This window comes from Homo sapiens, chromosome 14, assembly GCF_000001405.40.
Source record: "Homo sapiens chromosome 14, GRCh38.p14 Primary Assembly".
Taxonomy (NCBI): Eukaryota; Metazoa; Chordata; class Mammalia; order Primates; family Hominidae; genus Homo; species Homo sapiens.
Genome location: NC_000014.9, coordinates 50577618 through 50592584, shown reverse-complemented (window position 1 = coordinate 50592584; position 14967 = coordinate 50577618). Strand labels below are relative to the sequence as shown.

Genomic DNA, 14967 nt, shown 5'->3' with positions numbered 1-14967 from the left:
TAAAAGTTGATTAAGTAGGTTATAACCATGACTTTTTTTTTTATGACTTTTACTTTAAAGTCCTTTATTTAATAAATTCAGTCTTCCTTCCTCCTTCTGTTTACCCTGTCTTGGTTGTCCTAATCATATATGACGCCCTTGTTGCTGGTTCACTAGCTCCATTCTCTATGCTTGCTTGTAATTTTAGTCTTGACTCACTCATCCTAACTGCTTTGCCTTTTCTGCCTTTTTAAGCTATCTTACCTTTTTTTATTGATCTGCCCTGTTCCTTGGCCACTCTCTTTTTGCTTTTGCCAGTGGATTGAAAATATCTAAAAATAGTCTTAAAATCTTTTATGCTATGGATTCTATGGTTCTAATAAAACTCTACAAGGATTTTCAGGACAATTTAGAAAGCCCACAATAACCTCAAAAATAAGACTTTTAAAAAAGTGAAAGAAAAAAGGAAAGGAAAGAAAGATAAATTTTATATATAAGCTATTTACTTTCCTAAATGTACATTAAGGTGTTTTTAAAAGCTATGAACACATGTAAATGTTTTTACATTTAGAAATGTTTCTACTGGCTATGTAGAACAAAATTTATATTTATAAACACTGTTTCATTAAACATAACTTACAATAGATGGTCTCAATGTATACGCATATAAGATTTATGTTACTGAGTTTATTGTAGGCTTTAAACAACAACAACAAAAATCCCAATAAGATAATATGACCTTTTCTAACCAAAGCAGTCAATTTGAAAGTTTGTCAGTAATTAAACTACAGTAACAAAAACAATTCCACTCTCACAGAAATCACGAGAACTCGTATGCTAATTGAGTCAAACAATATATATGATTCCCAATTTCTGTTGTTTATCTAATTATAACATGTATGTAGAAACACATATACTCATAATTTTTAGTTAAAGAAACATCATCAAAATGGGCTTATTTCATACCTGTATTGAGCTGATCATTGTGCTAAGGGCAAATACTGTGGCTGAATCTCTCAAAGTTGACTGACTATCAAAGGTTCCCTGAGTATCCATCAATAACACTGCAACCTACAGGCAAGAAGAGTACATTATTGATATTTTATAGAACATCTAGGTCATTAGGGTTACCATAATATTAATATAAGAACTAAAGCAAACCATTATTAATCAATACTATTTTAGATAATTTCTTACACATGCCATGAATGCCACAGAAAATAAAAATATTAACAGCTGATTACTATTATAAGTAATTTTTACTAGTAATCCAACGTAACAGAAACTTTATGTAGCAGTGAAACAAAATACAGATGTTACTTGCTGATCTGCTGTTCTATCATCGTTATAATTTCGCCTACTCTGATCACAAGAAAGGGAAACAAAGATCATGCTATAGGATGCTACCCCACTTTAAGCTTCATGTCAAATGGTCAAAATTAATTTTCAAAAGTGCAACTTCAAGGATCCTAAAAAGTAGTAACTGTTATAAGTGAAAACTCAATTTTATTTAGGAAGTTAGCATCATACCTTTTTACCATCAGGTTTATTGATAAGGAAGATTTCACTCCATATCTGAATTCCTGTGGTCTCTCGCTCAGATCCACCTCTCCATGAAAAACCAGTCAATGGTTCATTGTAGTCTCCAACCCAATCAACTGATTCCTATAAAATGATAAAGTCTATGATATGGAACTTGATATGTGTATATAGTTTTTTCCATTCATTCATTCTGATTCTTATCCCTCTCCAATTCGAGTTAAAAGGAAACAACATATGCACATCTATTGCATTGATACCATCACTTTATTCATCCAAAAAATAATTACAGAGGAGCAACCATCTGCCACATTTTTGATATGTCCTGGGGATATAAAAATGAAAAGATATCATTGCAGACCAGAGGAAATTCACAGCCTAACAGCGAGACAGACATGCAAACAAACCATTATGATGCAATAAATGCATGCCAAAATGGAAGTATATATAATGCATAAATGGTAGCATAGAAAATAAATAACTAACCATTGGTCAGGCAAGACCACATAGGATGTTTGAGCTAAGACTTGAAAAATATTTAGGAATTTTCCAGGGAAGCAAATTTGGAGAAGGCATTCCAGAAAGGAAGGCAAGCAGGCAGGCAGGCAGAAAGGAAGGAAGTAGGGAGCATATTATGCTTTGGTTTTGTGGGAGGAGGAAGCAAGTAGCAGGAAGAGGCTGGACAGACAGCCAGATTCTGAAAGACCTTGTAAGGTCCTTAAGGGAGTCAGATTTTATCCTGCAGGCGACGGAAAGTTATGAAGAAGCAGAGATGAATTATCATCATAGTTGTGGTAGAAAGATACTATTCTAGAAGTAGGTAGGGCTAGTTAGTAGGGAAGGGAAATGATAGCTAGAAAAGATAAAGGTGGGGGTGCTATAATAAAGGTCAAAAATATGATTGAAGGTCTGACCAGGGCCAGGACAGCAGGAAGGAATAGACAAGTACTGATGCAAGTGGAGTTTGAGAAGCCAAAGGAAGACAGAATAGGAAAAATTATCAATTGTTTAAAGGCTGAAGATCAAGTTGGATAAGGCATGGAAAATATCCCATAGATTTAGTAAGTCAGTAATTGGTGACCTTGGTTGATAGTAGTTACCCCCATTTTGATATCTGTTACAGAGAATAAGTTATTAGTTTTTGGAAGATCTCATTAGATAATTGTCCAATCTAAAACCTTACAGTAACGAATGCAGAGGAATTTGGGAGAGGACTACTTGGACTGATAAAAAATCTACATAAACTAATTTAAAGAAAAATGTATTTAATTATATCCTATCTTGTTCTAAAAGGCATTTTAGACCGTTATCAAGAGCTTTGGTTCTTCTGTGAATTTGTTCTATTATCTGGCTCAATAACCTATTCAATCTTATTTCTTCTTCATCTCCAATACTTAATTTCCACTCTAGGGAAGAAGGTGTACACTCTGTTTAATACATATATTATACTTATTCCTCATAGTCCAGAATGTCCATTCTTCCTTTTCTGGTCCAGATCCACACATCTTCAAAATCTATTCTAACTTCCAATATCTCTATGAAGCTTTCTCCAGTTACTTTTGCCTACAATATGCCCTTCCCTGAACTACACTTAGAAATACGTCGATCAGGCTGGGCATGGTGGCTCATGTCTGTAATCTCAGCACTTTGGGAGGCCGAGGCAGGTGGATCACAAGGTTAGGAGTTTGAGACCAGCCTGGTCAACATAGTGAAACCCTGTCTCTACTAAAAATACAAAAAATTATCCAGATGTGGTGGCGCATGCTTGTAATCCCAGCTACTTGGGAGGCTGAGGCAGGAGAATCCTTGAACCCGGGAGGCAGAGGTTGCAGTGAACCAAGATTGCGCCACTGCATTCCAGCCTGGGTAACAAGAGTGAAACTCTGTATCAAAAAAAAAAAAAAAAAAAAAGAAAGAAAGAAAAGAAAAAATATATCTGTCACCATATCACCATGTAATGATGCTCTAAATATTTCACCTATTGTTATTCTGTCTCCTTGGCCAAACCATGAGATGCCTAAGTGCAAAATCTATGGTATGTTTTCTTTGGTATCCACCATAGTGCCTAGCACAATCTAGAACATTTAGCAGGTAGTCAATAAATAATTACTATTGAGGTAGAAATTGAAATTTTTCCAATAAGGTATTACCTGGAAAAATGTCTTGGGATGCATACTTCAATGAATAAATTGTGATTATTATTAATTAGCATAATAACATTTCCATAACATTCACTCTGAGTCAATGATCTACATTGAGATATTCATAAAAATCCTAAGCCTGAAAAATAACCTTGAAGGACAAGGAAAACATACCCAGCTAATTTTTGTGTGTTTTTTTTTAGTAGAGACAGGGTTTCACCATGTTGGCCAGGATGGTATTGATCTCTTGACCTCGTGATCCACCCACCTCGGCCTCCCAAAGTGCTGGGATTACAGGCGTGAGCCACAGTGCCCGGCCAGCAATTTATTTTCAAATGCATCAAAGAATAACTTGGAGTGATGGCTGGAAAGAGGGATGAATAGATGGAGTCATAAGTGATAAAGCAGGAATACTAATGTTAATGGTAGAATCTGGGTGGTGGATACCAAGATGTTTAGTATAAAATTTTTTTAACTTTGCTATATGCTTGAAATATTTCATACTAAATGTTGGAAAAAAGTGATTACAATACAAAAATTATGTGACATTTTAAACACTATAACATTTAAGTCTATAATCAGAATATTATGTGCCTATTTTTAAAAGAATAAAAATATAAGTTATATTCTAAGGGAAATGCAGCAAAGCAGCTTCAGAGAAAATTGGTCTGTGTAGTTTGGTCCCCAAAGCACTGAGGTTGGAATGGTTACACCACAGCATTTCTTTAGCTGGTTCATATATAGGGTACATAATAATAGAAATGAAAATTTTGAACACCATGAAATAAAAACATGAAGTGACAGAAGCACAGAAGAAAGAAAACTTTTTAAAGTACTTCCTGCATACCTGGTTGTACATGTATCTCAACATGAAGTCCATCAGGAATGATTTTCCTTTTCTAAATGCTCCAGCAACAGATACAGCAACAACCTCCTTGTCTCTGACAGCCTCCGAGAGAAGGATCCGATTTAATGCAGTTTCATCTAACTCAAAGGAATGGTCATCTTTGACAATGAGGACTTGGACTGGTCCTGCCTTTTTCACTGGCTCCTCCTCTTCTGAGCTCCATTCATATGTCTTTTCCGAAAATCCACCTGTTGAACAGAGCAGTGACTGGTTCAGCTAATCATCTCAAAGTGCCAAGAAATGTATATGTACCTCTTAACTCTCAAACATCCGACACAGGAGCATACTGGAATTATAAATGCTCATTTTATGCTGGGTGCAGTGGCTCATGCCTGTAATCCTAGCACCTTGGGAGGCTGAGGTGGGAGGATCGCTTGAGCCCAGGAGTCAAGAGCACCCTGGGCAACATAGTGAGATCCTGTCTATACAAAAAATTTTAAAATTCGTCAGGTGTGGTAGCACGTGCCTGTGGTCCCAGCTCTCAGGAGGCGGGGGTGGGAGGATCACTTGAGCCCAGGAGGTCAAGGCTACAGTGAGATATGATTGTGCCACTGCACTCCAGCCTGGACAATAGAGGGAGACCCTGTCTCAAAAAAGAAAAAGAAAAAAAGAAAGAAAGAAAAGAAATGTTTGTTTTAATGACATATTTTAATGTCATTCACACTATATCCCAGGAGGACTTACATTTGTTCTTTCTGATCATATGACTGAATCAAAAAAATTTTTCAAGAAAACTCTAAGTCAGTGCAGATGTCTCTGTCTGCTGAGTCAGAAAGAAAATCAAAGCAAAGCACTCTACTTTTGGAGCAGAGGAATAAAATGGTTGTAGTTCACACTTTCTTTATCCCCTAGAAATAGCTTATTTACATAAAGGATCCTTGCAATACTTTTTAAAGCTGAACATATATAGGAAGAAATACCTAGAAGGGCTCAGAATCACAGATTCTCAAGCATGCTATTGGTATTATTATAGATGAGGAAATTAAAGCCAAAGATGTGACTGACCTTGCCCAAGAGATGGAAATGGAATTTAGAAGGAAGGAAATGGTAGACTTCCTCATATAGGATTTCTATATCTTTCTCATGTTATTTATTTAATCTTTGTAATGTTCCAGTACGGTATTTATTATTATCTGTATTTTTGACACATGAGAAAATTAAGAATCTAATTAAATTTCCCAAGAGCACAACTATTAGAAAGTGACAGATTACAGGTCCAAGTTCACATGGACGGTAACTGCCAAACTGGGATTAGATTGCAAGAGTCAAAACTTTCATCCCAGATCTTTCTACTACAATAAAAAAAAAAAAATTCTGCCTCTTTGGTAGCAATCAAATAACTTTTGGACAACACATACATAGGCTCGTTTGCTTTATATCATAAGAACAGAAAGTCTATACATACACCAATTAATTCCTCAGATCAGATATATGACCTAGCCTCAAAGAAACCCTCAATAATTGCTATTGTAGAAACCTTAATCCCCAATGTTAGAGATGAGGCCTTTGGGAGGCCTTAGATTATGCTTAGATTAAGTTACGAGGGTCTCCCATCATAGAGTTAGTTCCCTTATAAGAAAATTAAGGAACCAGAGCCCCTTTTCTCTGAATTATGAGGATACACGAAGAAAGCAGTCTATGAACCAGGAGGAAGACCCTTACAAAAAAACCCAGCCCTGCTGGCAGTCTCATCTCATCCAGCTGCCAGAACTGTGAGAAATAAATGTTTGTTGTTTAAGCCACCCCAGTCTATGATTTTCTGTTACAGCAGCCCAGAGTGACTAAGACAATGATAATAATTTTGAAACAAACTGGACTCTTAAATAATCTTTTATCTAAATTTTTGAAAATATCTTTAGGTAGACATTCTTCATGATGTCTATTTGATAAGAAGTTTTATAACTAGATAAAAGCAAGGCAATCATCTCTTGGCATAATTTTAAATAAGTCTTCAGATCACATTGATATATATATATCACATTGATAACTTTATTGCTGTTCATCTATAAAATAATGCTATTGAAATACTGAAAATATATAATTTTAGTTTTGCATGAGTAGAGATAAGTATACACCACTACTTTCTGAACAATCATACAAAGCATCTAGAGACAACAGACCATTGCCTATAGCCACGAATCAGAGTTGTTCTCTCTGCAAAGTTAAGAAAAGTTGACTTTTTATCTGAAAGATAATAGCTTCTATATTGCCATTTCACAGGTGCTGGAGTCAGAGAGCCTTTGTTTAAATCCCAGCCTTACAATTTACAACATAAAGTTGTGGAAATTATTTAGCTTCCCAATGGCTCACTATGCTCCATTTTAAAAAGATTCATAATGGTACCCATATCAGAAAGCCTTTGTGAAGACTTAACAAAGTAATTTCCATTAAATAAAGATTGAAGAATCTGACAAATAGTACATGCTTAATGAATGGTGACTGTTATTAATACTATTATCTATTCATGTCTGATTACAGTCCTACCTACCACCTAATTTCAGTCTCAGTACAAAGGCCCTTTTTGAGAATAGCAAATACATATTTTATTTGATGACGCTCCTTGCCTATGATTTAATTATGATCTGAGCACACAAATGTGAATCACAGACCCAAGCTAGACATAATATTTTGGATAGAGAAACAGCTTTGGGGCAGAAAACTAGATCATAACTTTCTATAGACTGAAATAATTGTTTGCAACAAACTACACATATGCAAAAGGTACTGGAGAATGCACATAGAAATGGAATTTCTGGGTTGTAAGTTTTTCAAATATTCAACTTTAAAACATGGAGCAAAATTGTCTTTTTCTAAGTGGCTATATAAATGTTTCACTTCCGCCAGCAATTTAACATCCTATTGATCCATATCCTTTCTAACACTTGGTTTTATCTGACTTTGTTTTTGTCAGTTGCAGAGGTATAAAATGTTATCTCACTGTGGTCTTGATATACATTTCTCTAATTGCTAATAAGATAAGTACTCCTTTTATCCGTTTTTCTATTAGGTAGTTTGTCTTTTTCTTACTGATTTGTAGTTCTTTATGTATTTTGAATGCTATCCCTTTGTTAGTTACATGCATAGCAAGAGTCTTCTAGTTTCTAAGAGTTTGCCTTTTCATTTTCCTTAAGCTATAATTGATGAAAAGGCATTCTTAATTTTAATGTAATAGATTTTATTAATATTTTCTTTTATGGTTAACATTTTGTATACCATGTTTAAGAAATGATTCCACATACAAGATCTGAAAGATAGTCATATATATTCTATTTTATTTTATTTTATTTTTTATTTATTTATTTATTTTTTTGAGACAGAGTCTCGTTCTGTCGCCCAGGCTGGAGTGCAGTGGCGCGATCTCGGCTCACTGCAAGCTCCGCCTCCCGGGTTCACGCCATTCTCCTGCTTCAGCCTCCTGAATAGCTGGGACTACAGGTGCCCGCCACCTCGCATTTTTTATTTTTTATTTTTTTATTTTTAGTAGAGACAAGGTTTCACCATGTTAGCCAGGATGGTCTCGATCTCCTGACCTCGTGATCTGCCCGCCTCGGCCTCCCAAAGTGCTGGGATTACAGGCGTGAGCCACCGCGCCCGGCCAATAGTCACATATATTCTTCTAAGTTTATTTGTTTGTTGTTTTTTGAGACAGGGTCTCACTCTGTTACCCAGGCAGAGTGCAGTGGTGTGAGCTCAGCTCACTGCAACCTCTGCTTCCTGAGCTCAATCGATCCTCCCACCTCAACCTCCCGAGTAGATGGGACTACAGGCACACACAACCACCAAGTCCCACTAATTTCTGTATTTTTTGTAGAGATGGGGTCTCACCATGTTGCTCAGGCTGGTCTCAAATTCCTGGACTCAAGTGATCCACGTGCCTTGGCCTCCCAAAGTGCTGGCATTACAGGGATGAACCACGGTGCCCAGACTTTTCTATGTTTTAAAGTTTGCTTTTGATACTTAAGTTCCTAGTCCATCAGAAGTTGTTATTTGTAGGGTGGAAGATAAAAGCCATTTCTTTTTTAAATATGAGAAACAAATTTTTTCAGAGCTCTGTCAAAGCCCCTTCTTTCCTCAAGTGGTCTGCCATGAGATCTTTGTCATAAGTAAGAGTTTTACACAAACACACACCCCCACATACACACTGACTCATTTCTGAGCTCTCAGTTCTGATCCATTCATCAATTTCTCTACACCAGCACCAATTTTACACTATCCTATTCAAAATAGCTTCATAAAAAGTTACTGTATATAATATGGCAAGCACCTCCTATCCTTCTAATTATTATTGGTCTTGGCTATTTTAACCCTTTCCATATAAATATTAAAATCAATCTGTTAGTTGAACTCTTTACTGAAGTTACATTTATAGATCAGTTTGAAATGAATCAGTACCTTCATGCTATTAAGTCTTCTAATACATTAACATGATCTAGCTCTCCATCTATGTTTGGTCTTTAATTCCCTTTGGTAATGTTTTTATAATTTGGGGGAGTAGGAAGAGGTTTATTACATTTAGTCCCAGGTGCACTGTAGTTTTTGTTGCTAACTATGACTGGTTTATTTGTTGTTGTTTTAGTTATACTTTCTAGTTGTTGTTTGGATAAAGAACTATAATTAGCTTTAATGCATTGGTCTCATATTGAAGCATTTACTAAACTTTATTATTTCCTGTAAAATTTATGTAGATACTTTTGGGTTTTTTAAATGTAGAAACAGAAATACAATTTTCAAATAATGACAGTTTCCAACTTTTCAATCTTTATGTATGTCTTTTCTTTTTCTTAACTTATTAGACATTCAAGGCAATGTTGAATAGAAGAGGTGATAATGGGCATAACTTTTGATTTCAGTAGGCATAACTTCCTGATTTTAAAGGGAATGTCTCCAATATTTGCCTATTGGGGTTACTTTTGTTACAGTTTTGTTGGGCTTGGTTTGGTAGATACATTTTATCATATCAGATGAAGGAAATTCTATGTGTAGTTTACTAAGGGTTTCTAAAAATCACAAACAAATAATGAATTTTATCAAATAATCTCTTCTGCATCTATTGAGGTGATCATATAGCTTTTCACATCCAACATATCAGTGTAGCAAATAATATATATTTGCACTTTTTATATAAACCTAATAGTCTCAGGGTATAGTATAATGTTGGATTCAGTTTGCTAAGATTTTGTTTAGGAATTGTGCATGTATATTCATAAATGAGTTGCCTATGACTTTCCTTTCTTATTTTGTCCTTGGGTGGTTTTATTATATAAGTTATGCAAGCTTTATAAAATGAATTAGCAGCTGGGCATGGTGGCTTACACTTGTAATCCCAGCACTTTGGGAGGCCGAGGCGGGTGGATCATTTGAGGTCAAGAGTTTGAGACCAACCTGGCCAAGATGGTGAAACCCCGTCTCTACTAAAAAAAAAAAAAAACAACAACACAAAAATTATCTAGGCATGGTGGTGCGTGCCTGTAGTCCCAACTACTTGAGAGGCTGAGGCAGGAGAATCACTTGAACCCACAAGGCAGAGGTTGCAGTGAGCTGAGATCACACCACTGCACGCCAGCCTGGGTGACAGAGTGAGACTCCGTCTTATGGAAAAAAAAAAAAAGAGAAAAGTTTGTAATAAAAGATTGGAGTGAACGGTTCTTTGAAATTTTGATAGAACTCACCTGTAAAACTTTGTGAACCTGGTGTTTTCTTTGTGAGATGATTTTTAACTGTCATTTAAATTTCTTTTGTTGAGATGGAGACTCACTCTGTCACCCAGGCTAGAGTGCAGTGGCGCGATCTCGGCTCACTGCAACCTCTGCCTCCCGGGTTTAAGCAATTCTGCCTCAGCCTCCCAAGTATCTGGAACTACAGGCACGTGCCACCATGCCCGGCTAATTTTTTGTATTTTTAGTAGAGATGGGGTTTCACCATGTTGGCCAGGCTGGTCTCAAACTCCTGACCTCAAGTGATCCGCCCGCCTCGGCCTCCCAAAGTGCTGGGATTACAGTCATGAGCCACCGCGACTGGCCATTTCAATTTCTTTAATAGTTATTATTGCTATTGTGATATTAGTACCAATAAAGCTTGATAGTTCTTGAAATACTTCTAGTTCATTCTATCTTTCTAGGAATTTTCTTTTCACTGCCTTAAAATTCAGACAAAAATCAGTAAATATGCAGATTTGAACAGCATCATTAGCCAGTAGCCAGCCTTACCTATCTGACATCTAGTAATTATAGAACCACACATTCTTTTTAAGTTCATATGGAACATTTACCAAATAGCCTAGGTACTGGCTTATAAATCAGATCTCAATAAACTTCAAAGAATTACAGTAAGAAAGAATATGTTATCTCATCATAAAGGAATTAAACCAGAAATCAGTAACAAGAAGATATTAAGAAAATCTCTAAATGTTTGGAAATTAAGCAATAAATCTAAATAACCTATGGAATAAAGAAGAAAGTACAATGAAAACTAGAAAATATTGTGAACTAAATGATCTGATGAATGTTCTGATCTATTTGTCAATTTGTCTTTGACAGCACCAATACTACACTATATTCATTAAAATAGCTTTATGAAAAGCCATTATATGTTAATAGGACAAGCCCTCTTATCTTCTAATTACTATCAGTCTTGGCTATTTTGACCCTTTTCATATAAATATTGAATCAATATGTTAGGTCGTAGTATCTTATTTATATTGAAATATTTAAAATATGACATATAAAAAACTTGCTTAGAGGAAACTTAAACTTTGAAATGCATAAAGTAGTAAAGATGCTTGAAAAAAATCATAAGCTAATATCTATGTCAAGAAACAGTAAAAAGAATATCAAATTAGATTCAAAGACAAGAAAAGATAGGAAATAATGGTCAAAAATAAATGAACTAGAAATCAAGATCAGTGAGATTAACTTAATAATATAAGACTGATCAAAGAAAATAAGAGAAAAAACCCACAAATTACTCATATTAGATATAAAAAAAGATACTATAGATCCTACAGATTTTTTAAAATAATATGGGGATATTATGAGTAATTTTATGACAATAAATTTGATAACTCTGATGAAATGAACAAATTAAAAGTATCACTTATAAAAAAACCACATAAGACAAATAACTATGAATACTGTTATACCTAGAAAAAATTAAATTCATAATTTAAAACCTTCATGCAAAGGAAATTCCAGGCTCAGCTTCCCTGGTGAACTCTTCTAAACATTTAGAAAACAACGAAGAGCAATCTTACACAAACTTCTAAGAAACAGAAAATAAGAGACCATTCTCAACTTATTTTATAATGTCAGACTAACTCTGATACCAATAACTGACAAGGACATTATAAAAAAGGAAAATCATAAGCCAGTATCTGTTATCAAGATAAACTCAAAAGCTCTAAACAAAATATAGCAAATAAAATCCAGACATAAATTTTTTAAATATCACAAACACATGGTATCTATTATAGGAATTCAAGGTTAATTTAACATTCAGAGACAATTAACATAATTCACCACATTGCATAACAGAGACAGACATATGATTATTTCAGTAGATGCATAAAAGTAGGTATGAAAATGTAATAGTCATTCCTGATTAAAGAAAGAAAACAAAACCAAAAAAACCTCACAGCAAAGTAGGAATAGAAGAAAAATTCCTTAATCTAATAAATGGTATCTACAAATATAGCTAATGTTACATTTACTGTTAAAATACTGAAAGCTTTCTCCCAAAGTCAGTGAAAACCCGTGTTCAGACGCAAACCTGCACAAATATGTTTATAGCAGTTTTATTCATATTTGCTAAAAACTGTGAACAACCCAAATTTCCATTAACTAGGGAATGGATAAATAACCGTGATACATTCAACTTTAGAGCTGACTCTAAAGACATAGAGAAAATTATCTGGGGTAATGGAACAGTTCTAAATATTGATTGTGGTAGTCATAACGTGACTATATAAATTTCTCACAAGTCACAGAGCAGTAGATTAAAAAAGTTAATTTTACTGTATGTAGATTATAACTTAATTATTTTTAGTGAGAAAAAATATTTACATAGCATTATAAAACCTGATCATCTAGTAATCAATCTAAGTGATGTGTTGGCAAATGTTTAATAACCAGCTCTTAGCAGTGGGTAGGTGGGGAAAAGTCCTGATTTGTGACATTTGCCAATTTCTGTGATATAAATACTACCACCATGGCCCACTTTAGTCTCACAATGTGATTTACTGAATGTGGAGCCAGGAAGAGATGTACCCGATCAGCTCTCATGAACTAGTAGGAGCTGGCTCCAACATACCACTGAAATCTAATGAAAGACATTTAAGACCTCTGCAGAAAAATATAAAACATTACTGAAAGAGGGATATACATGTTCTCAGATTAGAAAGCTCTATATTGTGAATGTGTCGATGCTTCCCATTGATCAATAGATTGATTATAACCCAAATCAAATTTTCAGCAATCTTTCTTGTACAAATTAACAAGCTTATTTCTCTGTTGCATAAATCTTTATTATGCAAATTAATAAGCTTGTATGGAAAGGCAAAAAGCCAAGAATAACAAAGACAACCTTGAAGAGGAACAAAATTGGGGGACTTACACTAACAGACACCAATAGATAATTAAAATCTATGGTAATGAAGACAGAGTGAAATTATCACAAGTATAAACAAACAGACCAATAGAAAAGACTACAGACCCACACATATACAATCATCTGATTTACAACAAAGGTGCCACTGCAATAGATAAGAAAAGGAGATCTTTTCAATAAATGATGCTAAATCCATTGAATATTCATGTGTGGGGAAAATGAGCCATCATCCTTAGCTCTCACCATACACAAAAACCAGTTCCAAATAAATCACAGACCTACACCTGGTGGAGGAGAAGTGGACAAAAGACACAAATAAGCAACTGACAAAACCCACAATATTAAATGACTCCATACATATAAAAAGATATTCACCATCATGCAAATAAAAATGAAAAAATATATTGATAACTTTTTCACATATTGGATTTACAAAGATCAAAAGTGTAATAATTATTTTCATTAGTTCAGATGTAAACTTGTACTCACAGATACTACAGGTGGGAATTAAAATGGATACAGCATCTTTGGGCTGCAATTTGGCAAATAACTATGAAAAACACAAATATATGTATTCCTGACCCAGCAATGCTATTTCAAAGAATTCATTTGCAGATATACTCATACATATGCAAAACACCAGAAACAATGTAAATGTCCATCAATGAGGGACTGATTAATAAATTATGGTTCATCCTCTTGTGAAACATAATTGTAAAGAATGAGGAAGTTCATTTGGAACAATTGCCCAATATATATCATAAGAAATAACTCAGTATAATACAGTGTGTACAATATGGTATAACTCTGAAAAAAAAGTGTGTGGGAGAGTGTGTTTGGCATGTTTAAGAATAGCAAGTAGTACAATATGCATGGAGCAGGTTGAAAAGGTTATGAGGGGCCAGGTCAGGAAGAGTAAGACAGAGCACAAATATGAAAGGATTTGGAACAGAGTGGATATTATGGGTGAGAGTAATGGAAAACACTTCAGTGGATGTTGGTATCTGATTATCCTTTCCTTGTCTGCCTTTGTATACCAGGTGTGGGTTAGGTAGATAACTCTGAACTTTACATTTATATGTTCAAGGCTCTTGAAGAGTTACACATGGAATTAATGAAGAGGAGGGAGATTGTCTATTAACCATGACTTACATAGGCTACAAAATAAAACAAATACCTGAGTTGTGATATTTGTTTATCACTCAGTATCAAATACTGAGATGCTTTATACAAAGAAGTCTCATTCTGTCTATGTAAGCAAAATACCATATTAAATATTCCTTCTTGGTATAGAGACTTTTAAAAATACAGAAATCATTTGTTATTACATGAGAGAATAAATAATAGAATAGAATGAATTTGTGGAATATTTATAAATATATAGCCATTAGTTTGTATGTCACTTACAGTTAAGAAAGAAACCTATCATTAACATCAGCCCATACATATAATTATGGTAATCAACATTTACATATAAAAGTGTTTAGAAAAGCTACACTCTAAATGGCTATCAACTAATAAATGGACAGATAAAATGTGGTATATCCATACAATGAAATATTATTCAGCAATAAAAAGAAATGCAGTACCAATACATGCTATAATAGGATGAATCCTGAAAACACTATGTTAAGAAGCCAGTACTAAGGACCACATATTGTATAATTCCATTTACATAGAAATGTATAGAATTAGGCAAATTTATAGAAACAGAAAGTAGATTGGTGGTTACCCAGAGCTGGGGAGTAGGAAGGGTATGGAGGGTGATGGCTAACAGATATAAGGTTTCTTTTGGGAGCT

General features: G+C 34.6%; 1 protein-coding gene across 4 annotated transcripts in view; it reads right to left on the bottom strand.

Moving 5' to 3' along the window:
* The window catches only part of ATL1 (atlastin GTPase 1), a 99987-nt gene that overhangs the window by 40484 nt on the left and 44536 nt on the right, over window positions 1-14967 (bottom strand). For all 4 annotated transcript variants that reach the window (XM_047431430.1, NM_001127713.1, NM_181598.4 and 1 more), the window contains 3 exons: window positions 4507-4754; window positions 1510-1644; window positions 946-1050 (listed from right to left, as the gene is read on the bottom strand). In XM_047431430.1, coding sequence (XP_047287386.1) covers window positions 946-1050; window positions 1510-1644; window positions 4507-4754 — 488 coding nt within the window. The remainder of the gene's footprint in view (window positions 1-945; window positions 1051-1509; window positions 1645-4506; window positions 4755-14967) is intronic.